Genomic DNA, 17,086 nt, shown 5'->3' with positions numbered 1-17,086 from the left:
ATTCTAGCAAAAATCCTAAAGAAGGTTCTCATTGGATACCTGCCCATTCCTGAACCAGTCACTGTTGATGCAATATGTTATGGTCTGATTGGCCAGGCCTTGGTTATGTGCCCACTCCAGATGATAGTGTCGGCTTCACCTGAACCAAATAATCGAAGTGTGGGGGCAGGGGTGGGGGAGGGTTGGGAGGATGGAGGGGTGAGGGACACAGATAGGAGCAGGGATACCTTGCTAAAGGAAAACTAACTTGTTTTGAAAAGAAAGAAAATGGGTATTAGGAAGCAAAACCAATAATGTTCTCCACATAAAGTCTATGATGTTATTTCTTAGTTTGAAGATAACAGTGAGCTCCTTTAGATCATCAAAATCAAATCACAGGAAAAAAATTTCAAGAGGAAACATAAAAGTAATGATATTCCAAATGAGCAAGAATAAAGAAATCTATTTATTCTGAAATGCTTTAGATTTATGCAAGATAGTTAAAATATAAGAGCTAAAATATAATTTGTTACCTTTAACCCAACAAATATGTTGTTTATTATAATAGTACACATCTCATGCTTATTATCCATAGAAAACAGAAATTATTATTTCACCTTTCCATCCAAACTATAAATGCAATAGTACAGAAACTTATGATTACTGATTTTTGAGAAGGCTGTTATGGAGCCAAAGGAGGGTTGAAAAGGACAATTAAAATGGCCCAATTTTTGTTGAATTCTTTATATAGTTTTATTGAGGAACCAATTGATAAAACTCTTCAGTCTGATATGACAAGGTCTGTGGATTTAAGAAACATTCATAAATTTGTTTGTAGAATTGATAGCATAATTCTGGAAAAACTAAAAATGTGAATTTTCCCATGGTACAATGTTAGTATTCCTAGTTGTCCAGATTACAAAAAAATTTTTTTAGAATGAATGTCTATTATTCTTAAATTAGAAAAAGAAACAAAAAAGTTTTCCTTAAGAGAAAGAAGAATTATGACATTGAGGGAAACTAGCGTTGACCTTTGAAGTGGTGTTATTGTGGTCTTTCTCACAGGTTTTTTTGGTTGTTGTTTTTGTTTGTTTTTTTCCATAAATATCCATGAATATCTCAGAAACAACATTGGGTTGGATGGACCATTGTTTTGAAATAATCTGGTAATTCTCTTTTTATGTAAATCTTATTAAAAACCATTTCCACAGCATTATGCTAGTGTACATAGTAAGAGTTTAATCATATTCACTGATATCTTACTAAATCATTTTGATTCCTTTCAAGAACGTACCTTTCAAGAACAAGTTTCCGACACAGAAAATAACCTGAACCAAGGACCCAGCTTGATGGAAGCCATCTTTAAAATATTGTACCATTGCAGTTTTTCTCCACAAACATTTGCAAACGTTTTTGTGAGCTACATGGAAGAAGAGCAATTATGGGACTTTTTATATAACATCCCAGGTATGAGACATTTACTGTTTGTAAAAGAAATGTTCTATAGATACTTATATGTACCTTTAAAGATGTTTAGAAGTTGTATTGATACTGGTTTTGCTGAATCTGTTGTTGGTGAAAGTTTACCTTACATTTTTTCAGTATAAAGCCTTCTGTTGGGAATCATTAATTATTGGTTCCTGTAAAATTTCATATACTTTGGGACAAGATGCAAGGGAGGTGGAAGGGAAAAGATTTTCTTTTTTTATTAATTAGGGAATGTTCTATCATAAAAATTTATTTTAATATTTATCACAGATTATGTTTTGCTATTGAGCATATAAGATATTAGTAAGATGTGAAAAGTATTTTGTGATTCTTGGGTGCATTTATTCAGCAAATTAATGGACAATACTATTGGTCGATTTTCTTCAGATGTATAAGGCATTTATTATTATGACCATAGTGTGTCTCTCTACAAGGCAAGCATATCCTGTGATTCCTTTGGAGAGAATATATTTTTCCCATCTGTATTGTTCTTCTTCCTTCAGCTAGAGAGAATAATAAAGGCAGTGCAGGTTGTATATTTGAACAGGAAGTTTTGATGGGTTGCCCCACCCTCTGGCAGGCGTAAAAATTCTCACATTGTCTTATCCTTAATATTCTGCCTTTAAATTTTCATATTTAATATCTTGTGAAAACAAAGGATGAAAACTTAGACAATGATTTTTATTATTATCCTGCTATTCAAATAGTGATTTTTATCATTTACATTTAGTTTTCAACCTGTAAGCTTTCTTTTATCCTGCTTTGGAACCTGAATTTTCATAAAATATTTCCTAGGCTCCATATAAAAGATCTAACTAGTTCATAATCATGGTTTCACTCCTCCCAGACTTTTTGACTATCCTCCAGATATTACTTGAATATCATTCTAGCTGTTTTACAGTCATTATGTTTCATTTTCTCTTGGCCATTATCCCTATAAACTAGCAATAGATAACTTTATGTTATGATTTCCAAAGTCCAAATCTGTCATTTAAAGTTTCTGTAATAATGATCTCTTTTTAAAATGTTATCTCCTAGTTGCCATGCATTCCCTTACTGCTTCTTGCTTCCCAAAGGAAGGGCATATTCCTAGGTAAAAAGGCTGAATTAGAAGCTTGTTGTGTTTCTGATGTAGTCTTTATTGAATTGAAAGAAAAACGAACTTGAAAGTTCTGCCACCCTCTGCTGATTTTAGTTGTTTCTGGGGAAGTAAGAGCTGGATTTTCTCACAAGATTATAAAGAATCAGTGACCCTCATGCTTCAATCACTATTTATCTTTCAACTATTAGGTTCTTGAACCATCTTTGACACTCAGCACAAAACTATACTTAAAATAACCTAGAAGATATAAATGGATTTCAGGTGCTGCTAGGCAAAATAAAACTGTTTCTTGCTCCTAATTTGACATCTCTCCATGTATGTAGTGAGCAAACCCTCCCCTACATGGTCAGACAAGTCTCTGGAAACAGACGTTATACATATTCACAGAGCCTGAATTATATGTGAAAGCTCAAAGGGGCAGAACTTCAAATGGGTGAAACTCCCTTCTCCTTTATACAAGTTGTTGCTCCATAAACATTAAATATTCTCTGGAACCTGATACCTGCAGTGGTTATGAGGGTCTGAAGTTTTCTCTTTTCTCTCCCATTTAAGTCTTTGAAAATATCTTTTTTTTTTTCTGTTAGCAATCATGGTTATTTTAAAAACCCTAATAAGATAATACAAGGTACTAATTCATAACGAAATTAAGCCTTTTACTATGACTTTTGTTTAATTTGGAAACATAACATTGTTACAAGTAATACAGCTGAGACATGTAATCATAATCCCGCAATATTTACATTTTATTACTAATAGATCTATGCTTCAGTATCTATAATTAACCTACCCAGATTAACTAAAGTACATTATTTTAAAACTTCACTGCTGTAGTTTCCTCCTGCTAAATCACTGTCTATGATTTCTGCACAGTTTACCCATAAAACATCACAGTCTTATCATTTTAGGGTAAAAGGACAAAGATGAAGTGGTATCTTCATCTTATTGTTGAGTAAACAAAAAGCAGAAATATTAAGAGAGTTGCCTAAGACTGTCCACCAATTAAGTTGGACAAGACTTAGCACAAGAAACCAGATCTCCTCTCTCCTAAGGCAGCAGTCCCCAACATTTTTGGCACCAGGGACCAGTTTTGTGGAAGACAGTTTTTCCACCAGGAGGGGGATGGATGAAACCGTTCCACCTCAGATCATCAGGTATTGGTTAGATTCTCATAAGGAGCAAACAACCAAGATCCCTTGCATGTGCAGTTCACAATAGGATTTGTGCTCCTATGAGAATCTAACATGCTTCTGATTTGACAGGAGGGGAAGCTCAAGCAGTAATGCTCACCCACCTGCTGCTCACCTCCTGCTGTGCGGCCCAGTTCCTAACAGGTCACGAACCTGTACTGGTCTGCAGTCTAGGGGTTGGGGACCCTGTCCTAGGCCATGTTATTTCTCATTTTTTTCTATTAGACTAAATTTTTTGAGACACTACTTTTATGAACATACGAATTCAGTAATGAATTATACAATCTGATTTTATACTTAGAATTCTATCTAACACATAACTCTTTAGACTGGACATAAGCTAGGGAGGGATGACAAGAAGGAAAATACCCACTTAAGATTACTACAAAAGCTATAAGTACAACAAATAATTAAGTCAGTGACCTAATGTGGGTGTTTCTAAGGCCAATGCACTCTGTAAGAAATAAATTTGCTAACAATCATTGGACACCTATGTTTTCAAAGTAGATCAAGCATTATTCAGTTAGACAAATGAAAATATCAAAGCATACATTACCTCAGCTGGTTTTTAAGACAATGTCAGAACAGGCTTGTAAATGAGGCAAATACTGTCAAAAATGCCCATCTAATATGATAGTAATATACTCAAAAAGTATTGTTTACTTGGCTCCTCGATAATGGCATTGGGCTTACTTTTGTTTTCTGAATCAGTTTTCTTAACTTTCTCCCAACCTTTGGGAAAAAAGTTTTCCATAACCTAGCAAAATTAAGGGTTGAGATTCAAAGTTTCCACTTTGGTTTTCTACTCCTCCTCAGCCTCATAAAGACCTTTAAGAAGTGTTGTCTAGAGAGCATATATATGCTATATTGTCTGCCTGTTGCCAAAATTAATTTACAGTGCCTTACCTTCCTATCAGACACAGTGATTGTCTCTATTACCTACATAAATACCTGCGCCATAGTATAGGTAGATTTTAAATGTAAGCTTTCACATATTGAAAGGCTGTCTTTGTTCTATGTTGTAACTAATCATGTATTCTGAGCCTTTTGTCACCAGTTTGTTTGCAATCCACCTTAAAAATGTTTTAAAATATATTTATTGATTGAATACAATAAAATTCACTCATTTCAAGTGAAGAGTTCAGTAAGTTTGACCAATGTATAAATCTGTGTGACAACCACAACGATAAAGATATGGAACATTTTATGTCATCTCCAAAGGTTCTTTCATTCCCCCTTTGCCGTCCATTCTCCTTTCAACTCTCAGCCCCAGGAAGACACTGACCTGCTTTTTGTCGTGATAGTTTACTTTTGATATTCTAGAATTTCATATAAATAGAAATCTATATATTCTTTTGTGTCTAGCTTCTTTTGCTCAGCTTAATGTTTTTGATAATTTTATATTATGCTTTATCATTAGTTTATTTCTGCTCATTGCTGAGCAGTATTTCACTGAGTAGTACTTTTTTTATCCACTTACCAGTTGGGTGGACATTTTGATTATTTCTAGTTTTTGGCTACGATGAATAAAGCTGCTATGAATACTAGTGTATAAGTCTTTGTGGGACTACAGTCATCCCTCAGTATATGTGAGGAATTCATTCCAGGAACCATTCCCCTTCTTAAAAAATCCATATACTCGGCCAAGCATGGTGGCTCACGCCTGTAATCCCAGCACTTTGGGAGGCCAAAGTGGGAGATCATCTGCGGTCGAGAGTTTGAGACCAGCTTGACCAACATGGAGAAACCTCGTTTCTACTAAAAATACAAAATTAGCTGGGCATGGTGGCATGTGCCTGCAATCCCAGCTACTCAGGAGGCTGAGGCAGGAGAATCACTTGAACCCGGGAGGTGGAGGTTGCAGTGAGCCAAGACGCCATTGCACCCCAGCCTGGGCAATGAGTGAAACTTCATCTCAAAAAAAAAAAAAAAAATCCATGTACTCAACATATACTCAAGTCCTGCAGTCAGCCCCACAGAACCTGCATATATGCAGGTTTTGCATCCTGCAAATATTGTATTTTCAATCCACATTTGATTGAAAAAGTCTGCATGTAAGTCGACCTGTGCAGTTCAAACCCATGTTGTTCAAGGGTCAACTATGTATGTTTTCATTTCTCTTCAGTAAGTACTTAGAAGTGGAAATGCTAGGTGATATGATAAGTAAATTTTTAACTTCATAAGAAACTACTGGCCGGGCGTGGTGGCTCACACCTGTAATCCCAGCACTTTGGGAGGCCGAGGTGGGTGGATCACCAGGTCAGGAGATCGAGACCATCCTGGCCAACATGGTGAAACCCCGTCTCTACTAAAAATACAAAAATTAGCTGGGTGTGGTGGCGCGTGCCTGTAATCCCAGCTACTCGGGAGCCTGAGGCATGAGAAGCACTTGAACCCAGGAGGTGGAGCTTGCAGTGAGTCGAGATCACACCACTGCATTCCAGCCTGGCAATGGAGTGACACTCTGCCTCAAAAAGAAAGAAAAAAAGAAACTACTAAACTGTTTCACGAAGTAGTCAGATCTTTTTACATTTTGGCCAATGATGTGTGAAAATTTTGTTTGCTCCATATTCTTGTCAACACTTGAGATTGTCTTTTTGATTTTGGTTATTCTAAGGGGTAGGTAGTATTATCTCATGAAGCTTTAATTTACATTTCCTTCATGAATAATGACATTGAACACCTCTTCATGTTCTTAGTGACCATTTGAAAATATTCTTTTGTAAAATATCTATTCAAAACTTTTGTCCACTTATTAATTGGTTGTCTTACTGAGTTGTAAAGGGTTCTTTATATATATTGCACATAAATTCTTTGTTTTATACATATATTGATAAAATTTCCTCCCTGTCTATGGCTTACTTTTTCATTTTCTTAACAAGGTCTTTTGATGGAGTGAGGTTTATAATTTTGATGAGTCCAGTTTATCAGTTTTTTTTTTTTTGAGACGAAGTCTCACACTGTTGCCCAGGCTGGTGTGCAGTCGGGCAATCTTGGCTCACTGCAGCCTCCATCTCCCAGGTTCAAGCGATTCTCCTGCCTCAGCCTCCCAAGTAGCTGGGACTACAGGCACGAGCCACCACGCCTGGATAATTTTTGTATTTTTAGTAGAAGTGGGGTCTCACTATGTTGGCCAGGCTGGTCTCGAACTCCTGAATTCATGATCTGCCTGCCTCAGCCTCCCAAAGTGCTGGGATTACAGGCGTGAGCCACCACGCCTGGCCCAGTTTATCAGTTTTTTAACCATAGTGCTTTTTGTGTCCTAAGAACAACTGGATTATCTAAATTTTACTAATATTTCTCCCATTATTTCTTTTGGCAATTTTATAGTTTTAGTCATGTTTAGTTCTATGATGGATTTTTGTGTATAGTGAGATAAATGTTGAGGTTCTTATTTTTCCATATGGCTATGTAATTTTCCCAGAACCATTTTTTAAAAAGGCTATTCTTTATAAATTGAATTACTCCAATGCTTTTGTCAGAAATCAATTGACCAAGTGATCAAATAGATGCATCTATTTCTGGACTCTCTATTTTGATACTTGGCACTATAGGTTTATATTGTTACTTGCTTTCTATTTGTTGTTCTATCTAATCTTCATTTTCCCTCTATTTTGGCCCTCTTTTGGATGAGTTGAGTATTTGTCAGTATTCCATTTTACCTTTTCTAATGGCTTCTTTATTTACTGTAGTAGTTGCTCCAGGGTTTACAATATGTATCTTTAACCCATCACAGTTTACTTTTTAATAACATTATACCACTTTGCATCTGATATAAGAACCTTATGATGCTATATTTCCATTTACTTCCTCCCTATCCTTTATTCTATTGTTGTCATACATTTTATTTCTATAAGTATTATAAACCCTACAATTTATTGTTTTATTTTTGCTCCAAATATTATATTTTAAAGAAATTAAAAATGGGAAAAAGTCTTTTATATTTGTCCATATATTTATCATTTCCATACCCTTCTTTGTGTAGATCTGAGTTTCCAATAGGTATTGTTTTCCTTCTACCTGAAGTACTTCCTTTAACATTTCTTGTATTACAAATCTCTGGCATTAATTTATTTTAGCTTTTGATTGCGTGACAAAAAGTATTTTGCCTTCATGTTTGAAATATTTTTCGGTAGATATGGAATTCTAGGTTCAGAATTTTTTTGTTCTTTTTCGTTTTTCCTTTAGCACTGTAAAGATGTTCATTTTATTATCTTCTGGCTTGCATTATTTCTGACAATAAATCAGTGGAAATATTTACAGTATCTGTTTCCTTTTATGTAATATGTCTTCTTTTATAGTTGATAAGGACTTTTCTCTTTGTCACTGCTTTTCAGCAATTTGATTATGATGTGCCTTGTTTTGGTTTTCTTTGTATTTTTTTCTGCCTAGGGTTTATTGAGCTGCTTGGACCTGAGATGTTTAATTTTCATCAAATTTGAAAACTTTTCAGCCATTCTTTCTTGGAATATTTTGTCTTTTGCCAGCCCCACTTCACTCCCCCTCCCACTTTTTCTGGGACTCAATTTCGTGTATATTACACCTCTTGGCATTGTCCCGTAGGTCAGTGAGGCTGTATTCTTCTTCCTTGTTTTTTTGTATTGTTTTTGTTTTTTAACCTTCTTTCTGTCTGTTCTTTTGTTTGGATACTTTCTATTGCATCTTCAAGTTCAGTGATTTTTTTTTTTTTTTCTGCAGTGTCTAAAGTACTATTAAGACTATATGGTGAATTTTTATTACAGGTATCCTTAACTTCTGGCAATTCTGTATAGTTTCTTTTTATATTTTGTGTATACCTTCTCATTTAAATATTCTTATACATATATGATGTTTTAAAACCTTGTTTGCTCGTTCCATCATCTCTTTCATTTCTGGGTATATTTCTATTGACTTAGTTTTCTTTTGATTATGGATCATATTTCTTTCCCTGTCTGGTAATTTTTTAGTGGATGCCAGACATTATCAGTATTATGTTATTGAGTCTCTAGATTTTGTTTTCTTCCATTACAGATTTTGTTGTATTGTGTTACTTGTGTATCACCTTGATCATCTTGAGAGTTAGTTGTTTTCAAGCTTTATTAGGGCAGATCTAAAGTAGTCTTTATTCTAGGCCTGGTTTAGCCCATTTACTGAAACATTACCTTTTTAGGTGTCCTTTGAATGTCAGATATACAATGACATCTTGCCACTCTGGTCTGAACTTAGACTTTGCCAATCTTGTATGAACTCTGATAACTGTTCAGCTAACAGTTTCTCAATAGTTGTTTTTTGCTTGGCTTCTTAGAGTCAGCCTTTCCACTGCCAGTCTAGTATTCTGTGTAAGACTGAAAGGAAACTTTATGCAGATTTCTGGAGCTCTTTCCCTATGTAGATCCGTCTCTTTGGTACTTCTCTCAGAAAATTCCAGCTGCCTCATCCTCCTCTGACTCTTCATCTCAGTGAGACTTTCATGGTTTGCTTGACTTTCTGCTCCTTGGACTGGGATCCTGAAAGTACATTCAGACTTTAATTTGTTTTCTTTTAAAGGCAATTACAGTGTTTCCTGTTGTCTAATATGTGAAAATAGTTATTTTGCATATATTTCCCTATTTTCTAGCTTTCATGGCAGGAGAGTGAGTCTGGGACCAGTTACTTTATCATCACTAAAATAAAAGTTCTTCCTCAAAGTTATAATCATTTTTAAAAATAACTTATGATTATCTCAGGTAACAAGCCCACTAGACACATAATAAAATATTTGGAATTGGCTTTATCAGCTGACTACTGACTGAAAACACTAATTTCCTAAATAACATCCCTAAAAGTGAAGGACTCTCAGTGTACTATTTTTTACTTAATTCATAATATCATTTTCTTGGCCACTAATATATTCATACCATGAATCTGTAGTTCATTTGAGGATAACTTATTTGCTATATAGCTACTTTCAGGAACAACTGAACATGTTATATGATATTTGCTATGCTAAGTAACCAAATTATCTCAGCCATTCATAATTATTTTGCACAATTGTGCTTTAAAAAGAAATGAACAAATTACAAGAAAAATTCACACCAGAAATTGATTTTTTAAATAGTTTTAAGGTATTTTCATAGTGTACGTTCTTCTCTTCTTCTATACATTAATGCAGTGCTCTATGGTGAAAAATGTTTTACATTGAATTCCTGTTCATGCCTCTTTTCTTCCTCTAGTTCTTTCCCACCACAAGATTCACTCTGGGCCAGGCGTGGTGGCTCATGCCTGTAATCCCAACACTTTAGCAGGCCAAGGTGGGCAGATCACCTGAGGTTGGGAGTTCAAGACCAGTCTGGCCAACATGGTGAAACCCCGTCTCTACTAAAAATACACACACACACACACACACACACACACACAAATTAGCTGAGTGTGGTGGTGGGTGCCTGTAATCCCAGCTACTCGGGTGGCTGAGGCAGAATTGCTTGAACCCAGGAGGCAGAAGTTACAGTGAGCCAAGATCGCACCATTGCATTCCAGCCTGGGCAACAAGAGCGAGACTCTGTCTCAAAAATAAGTAAATAAATAAAATAAAATAAAATAAAATTTAAAAAAGGATTCACTCTGATTGCACAAAAGCTCTATGTTGGAAATCCCACCCAGTCCTGCCTTTTCACTGCTGGAATTTATACTCCAAAATTATCTCTCCCTTTCTTCTCACTATCAAAAGGTCTTGGTGTCCTGCTCCCATCTAGTCCCAAAGGAAAACCTTTAAACCACTTAAACTAGAAGTTGGCAAACCATTGCCTTTGGACCAAATCCAACCCACCATTTTAATAAAGTTTTATTGGAAATTGCCCTGTTTATTCACTTACGTATTATTTGTGGATACTTTTGTGCTTCCACAGTAAAGATGAGTAGTTGCAACAAAGATCATCTGTCATACGGCTTAAAATATTTATTATGTGGCTATTTACAGAAAAAGTCTTCTGACCCCTGCTCTAATTAAATCATATTATGATATCAGTGACAAATGTTTGTGTGTGTCCTTTTAGAGGCAATTGCATTTTTATAACAAATGTACTGAGATATAATTTATATACCATAAATTTCATCCTTTTAAAGTGTAAAAATATCACAGTTCAGTGGTTTTTAGTAGATTCACAGAACTGTGCAACCATCAGCACCATTTAATTTTAGACCATTTTAATCACGCCAAAAAGAAACCCTGTACCCATTAACAGTTCCTCCCCAGTTCCTGACAACCACTAATCTACTTTCTGTCTCTATATTTTGCCTTTTCTGGAACTTCTGTATAAATGGAATCATGCAGTATGTGCATTTTGTGTCCGGTTTCTTTCACTTAGTACAATATTTTCAAGGTTAATCCATGTTGTAGCATGTATCAGAACTCCATTTCTTTTTATTGTTAATAGTCCATTATATGGAAATATACATTTTGCTTATTGATTCATCAGTTGATGGGAATTTGTGTTGTTTCCACTTTTTGGCTGTTATGAATGATGCTGGTATGAACATTAGCGTACAAGTTTTTGTGTGAATGTTTAAAAAATCTTCTTCTGGATATATAACTAGGAGTAGAATTGTTGTAAACTGCCAGAGAATTGAAGGCGTGTCCCAGCACACACACAGTTTGCAACTCTGCCTTCGCCTTTTACATCCTGCTTGCACAGAGCCTCCAGATTAGTCAGAGGTGAGAGATTAGCGCTTTCTCAGGGCTTTCTTGGTATGTGCACAGTCCTGTACATGTCTGTGTCCTTCTTCATCCCCAGGAGTATGGCAGAGATATTCAAAATTCCTCCCCACTGTGTACATGTACATTTCATTTCTCAGTTTTTCTTTTCTTTTATTTCTTTTTCTATTAGCTTCTTGTTTGCAGCAACCAGTATCACTACCTTAGGCAGCCACAGAGCTAAACCATTGCTACTGACTGTTTTGACGAAACATCCTGGGGATAGGACATTTTCAGTCACTGAGTTAATTTGAATATGGATATGCATTGTGAACAGTGCTCTTCCAGGGAGATTCCAGACAAGACAAATCATGACAATCTGGGAAACTGGGACGTTGTGTATAGGTCAAAAGACATTCTACCTCTTCCAGTGGGTGCTGGGCTTTTATAACTACCATGGCTTCAAGGCTGCTCGTTTTCAAGGCCATAGTAGAACTTGCTGAGGAATGGGAGCTGGGAATAGAGCAGGTTAAAATGCCACAAAGCTCACTGTTTTTACCAAGATTCAGCTGATTTTCTTGAATAAATTCTCCTTGGATTGTTGCAAGCCTGTGGTTAATTTCCAGAGTTCTCAAAAGTTGATTTTCACAATTTTTGCCAGTGTTCTGATAGCTTTAATGGAGGTGCAGATTTTCCCAGGTCTTCACACCATCATTCTGGAAGTGCTTCTCCACACTTGTCTATTTTTAAAGAATGCCTGAGGAGGCCAATGCCTTCATTAAAATTAATGGCTTTCTAATTCTAAAATTTTAAGAAATTTGGATCTAAAGCCAGAGATACTGGAGAATTCATATATTACTACATAGACTATGGACAATTCTAGATATATGTAAAATTTTCTCTAATTCTAGTGCATTGCAGAGCAGTTACAGAAGATGGAGGGTTGATCTCAGATAAGAATAGGGCAGGTTAAAGTGCCCCAACACTTTTTATAGAGGACTGTTTAAATACAGCGGTAGGCCAGGCTCAGTGGCTCACGCCTGTAATCCCAGCACTTTGGGAGGCCCAGGTGGGTGGATCACAAGGTCAGGAGATTGAGACCATCCTTGCCAACAAGGTGAAACCCCATCTCTACTAAACATACAAAAATTAGCCAGGCGTGGTGGCGCATGCCTGTAATCCCAGCTACTCAGGAGGCTGAGGCAGGAGAATCGCTTGAACCTGGGACGCGGAGGTTGCAGTGAGCCAAGATCATGCCACTGAACTCCAGCCTGGTGACAGAGCTAGACTCCATCTCAAAAAAAAATAAAAATAAAAATAAATAAATAAATAACAGCAGTAAAAGTAGAAAAGGGAGAGTCAGAAGCTTGGGTGCTAACTTAGATGCTACATTTATTAGGAGTGGATGGGTATGGCATGTACTTAGAGATTGTGGATTGCTCCAAGCCATCCCGTCTAGTCCTGTGTATACCACTGCTTGAACTGGCTAACTAGAGAATACATCGTTGCCGTACTACTTACTGTCTGTTCTATCACTTCCTATTTGGTTTATCTGTGTCCTTATCTTCAAAAAGTGAGAAAATTAGACCAGAGCTTGTCTAGATTAAATTTTTACATTTCTAACAGCTAAAGTTATGAAGCATCAAAGAAACTAATTTTCTAAAGCAGGAAAGTATGCTAATGTATTTGAAGAAGATTTTCAATGATGTTTTGTTACTTTTGACTCCCCAGTTACTTACAATTTATCTGGAGACCTTGTTTCCAATGACTTCTGGTTGGTAAATATATTAATAGAATAATTATTTAAACCAAACCTTTTTACTTAGAAACATATTCAGATGTAATTTCCATTGCTTTTATAAAGCCACATTAGGTTATTCTTTATTGCATATAACATCTTTCTTAACAGTAGCCTGAAAAACTCCCAGTAAATTACCTTTGTTCTGATTCTTCCAAATTATAGAAATTTTAACATAAAAGTAACGAAGTTTCTTTTTGGAAATCTCGCCACATCTGTTATTACCAAAATATAAAAGATTATACTGATAAAAATTGGTAAGCAATTAGTAGCTTAGTGAACATACAAAAACTGGTTTAAATCATTCTTAGGATTGCTGCTCATAGCCTAAAGCACATTCTCAATTTAGGACCCTCACTGAGCCCCTTTCTAAGGCCTCCTGATTACTGTGTTGTAAAAGGAAGTAGAGTCACAGTTCTTTTCAACTTTGTGTGTGCTCAGCTGTGAAGTATTTGTTATTTTCTTCTTAGGAGTCTTAAATACAGTCGTGGAAGGTGAAAACTAACAAAGACCATAAATATCATCTTGTCCAGCCCTTGTCACCCTCTCCCCTCACCATTTTATAAATGAGGACACCGAAGCCCCTCCTAAAGTGTCTATATTTTTAATGGTAATTTTTGAAACACTTGAAAATTAATTAGATAATGATGCAGGTATTCTTTAAGTTGTATGATTCTAACCTTTGTTTTCATTTGTTAATTTAATATGAAAAATGGAAATAAACTACAATAATAAAAATCATTAATAAAAATTATTATCATTTGAAATAATCCTTTCCCTTGCTTCTCTCACTTATGCTGATAATGAAGAATTAATATTTTGGGTTTTTAGCAGCTGGGTTTTAGGGCTGTTACTCTATTCTTCCTATGCTATGTGTCTTGGCAATCTAGGAACCGGCTCTAACATTTTGCTGATAAGGAAACTCTTGGTAAGATTCTAACACTGAGTTAATTGACCATTTGTAAAGAAAGAAGGAAGAAAGGAAAGAAGGAAAGAAGAAAAAAGGAAGGAAAAAATATAACTGAAATTCCATCCGTCATTGATAATCACCATTAATATTATAGAGTACAGCTTTTAATTATTTTATATATGTGTGGAGATACATATTTTTAATAAAAATAGGATATCATACTCTTTTCTAACCTACTTTAATTTTTACTACACAATATATGGCTTTATTGTATAGACAGAAATACCAGAGCTAATTAAACAAATCACCTACTATTGGACATTTTGATTGATTTTTATTTTTTCTTATATCCTTTGCATATTTATAATTAATTTCTTAGGAAAAGTCCTATAGAAATGAATATGTGAGTCAACTGATAAGTAAAATGTTGAAGCTTTGACATTATTGCCAAGTTGTCATCTAAGAAGGTCATACAATTTATGTTCTCACCAGAAGAGTCCAAAACTACCAGTAAATATTATGTACTGTTATCTTAATTGCCATTCATTTTATTACAAAGAAGAAGAATCTTTTTAAAAAATGTTTTATGGGGTGGTTATCAATCATATGATTTCTTGGTTAAGAGCAGCTCTCCTTTCCTATAGCTTTAAACTAGATGATTACAAAACTGAATTCTAGTTGAGCAAGGCACAACTGATTTGCTAGGTTCTGCTAACCATAATATGCCATCTGATTTTAAAGTCTCAACGTGCGTGGAGTACGAGCTAGAGGTCATCCGATGCTTGAGACTGGCACTGACCGATGCCATCAAGGACACTGTACAGCAGATAGTATCTGTAATGAGTTCTAGGAGAAACTGTGAGACAAACCTAAACAAGCACATTGTTCCTGATTGTTTGCTTGAGAGCATGCCAAAGGAATGGAATTATAGTCCAAAAGAAACTAACAGGAAAGAATCATGCAAAAGTAAGTACACTTGTTTCTCTTTAAGAAAATACACCTGAAGAAGCAATTTTCTAGGGTATGTAATCAAGTAAAATTCTAAAATTTATAAGAATGATGAACTATATTAATCTTCCTTCCATTAAGTAGATGTGCGACCCTTATTTTTATTTTTACTATGAACCACATGATCAAGGAAACTAAAATGGAAAATTATTCAAATGGTCATAGTCTTTATTTAATTACCAGTTCAGGATTTTCTGTGATATTTTGTGTTCAGGCTAATAGTCACAGATTGGTGACATGATTTTGACTAATTTTCTCAAAATTTGTTGAGTAACTTAAAATCCATACTCTAGAGAAATTTGCTCTGATATTCCATTTAATTATTTTTTCCTTTAAGTTTTTTCCCTGCAAACACTAATTATTACCTTCTTTTCTCTTGTTAAAACACCTACATATGTAGCTTTTAGGTCAAAAATAGCACCCAGTTTGGTAAGTACATGTATTTTTCTGACAGGGTATTTTTTCCTCCGGTGATTCTGGTTCTAAATTGAGTGCATTGTTCCTATTCAGAACAGCGCATCCACCAAGTGTACTTAAGAACTATCAGTTACCTACATTATTCGTTTATTTTATTAGTCAAGTCCTCTCTTCTTAAATAGTTTCTCCCTATCTAGATCTTTCCACTTTTCCAGAATTTCACAAGATTCCTTTGTATGTATATTACGTACCTGTATTCGTGAATCTTTTGATTATTTAAAATAAAACTTTTTTCTTTCATATTCATCCTTAAAGAAGAATATTTTCACTAACTCTAAGGAAACTTTCTCTAGTTTTTCTAGAGAAACTAGAAAACTAGGAAACTAGAGAAAGTTTCCTTAGAGTTAGTGAAAATATTTTTTCTCTAACTCTAAGGAAACTTTCAACAATAAAATACTCCAGCCGCACTCACTAAAGTCAATTGAAGGGACTAGCCTTTCTTTCATTCTTCTCCATGGAGATCCTAAATATTGTGACCTTATATTACAAACTCAAATCAATTATCTATCTGTGACCTTTCATAGTAATGCTTTAATTCTGTCCAAGCCCTATTAAACTCCCTTTGAATCTAGTAAAGCCATTTAATTGAAATTGGAAAATGTCACCTTTTCATTACTTAAGTTCTTTCTTTTCTAAGAGTTGTTGCCATCTCTCCTTTGTTCTAGCTTTTGGATATTTGATATGTTTTGAGCAATTCAGTAGGCATGATTTATAGTTAACATATCATGCCATATGAGTAGCACTATTTTGCTTGTGGCTTTCGAGTCATTCTATTCACGAACAATTTTGCTTTTTCTAAGCACTTTGGAATTCCTCCATACCATTGCAAAGAGCCTCTTATTTCAAAAAATGCTTACTTATAGATACCAGTTGTTAAAGTTTTCCTTACTAAATAACATTTTTCATAAAATGCTCATTCCGAGTAAAAGTACAACATAAAGACAACCATGAAGGAATGTCAGATCCCATGAATATGTAAAAGAAAGTGATGGAAGAAAGTGACTTTATAAACCATTTTTTGCGTTCTAAGAGGATATGACAATAGGCGAATGCCATTGTTCTTCTTTACTGCCCTCTGAAATGCTACAGGGACTTTTAGATTGGCACTTCTAAAATTTTATTTTCACTACAGAATATAAGATAGAGAATGTGTACATGCTGGACATTAAGTCATTTATTAATTTCATTATTCATTCAGTAGAAATTTACTAAGTGAGAGACTACTATATACCAGGCACTGTGTTTCAGAGCAGAGATAAACCTAAGTACAGTATCTCCTCCTGGTGCCAGGAGACTAGTATAACTGTTTCAAAATGGGTACAAATAAGAGATGTACAATTTTTTGGTGTATGAGAAGAGACAAAGAAATTAAACTTCACTAAAATCTCACATGGGATTGTCACTGGAGACCTTTCTTGGTCTGTGAGTGAGCCAGTGTGTGTTGAGGACAGTATGTGAGGAAGCTTGAGGGAAGAGCAGGGGTGCCATG

The 17,086-nt window shown here is 35.2% G+C and overlaps 1 protein-coding gene across 17 annotated transcripts in view; it reads left to right on the top strand.

Moving 5' to 3' along the window:
* The window catches only part of KIAA0825, a 467,754-nt gene that overhangs the window by 199,958 nt on the left and 250,710 nt on the right, over positions 1-17,086 (top strand). For 16 of the 17 annotated variants that reach the window (XR_948246.3, NR_169751.1, NM_001388325.1 and 13 more), the window contains 2 exons: positions 1,267-1,446; positions 14,854-15,078. Coding sequence is in view for 15 of the 17 variants with exons in the window: in NM_001388325.1 (NP_001375254.1) it covers positions 1,267-1,446; positions 14,854-15,078 (405 nt within the window). In the remaining 2 variants the exon portion in view is untranslated. The remainder of the gene's footprint in view (positions 1-1,266; positions 1,447-14,853; positions 15,079-17,086) is intronic. The other variant, NM_001145678.3, reaches the window with a different exon arrangement.

This window comes from Homo sapiens, chromosome 5 (assembly GCF_000001405.40).
Source record: "Homo sapiens chromosome 5, GRCh38.p14 Primary Assembly".
NCBI lineage: Eukaryota > Metazoa > Chordata > Mammalia > Primates > Hominidae > Homo > Homo sapiens.
Note: the sequence above shows the minus strand (reverse complement) of the source record. Positions and strands in the feature narration are given on the sequence as shown.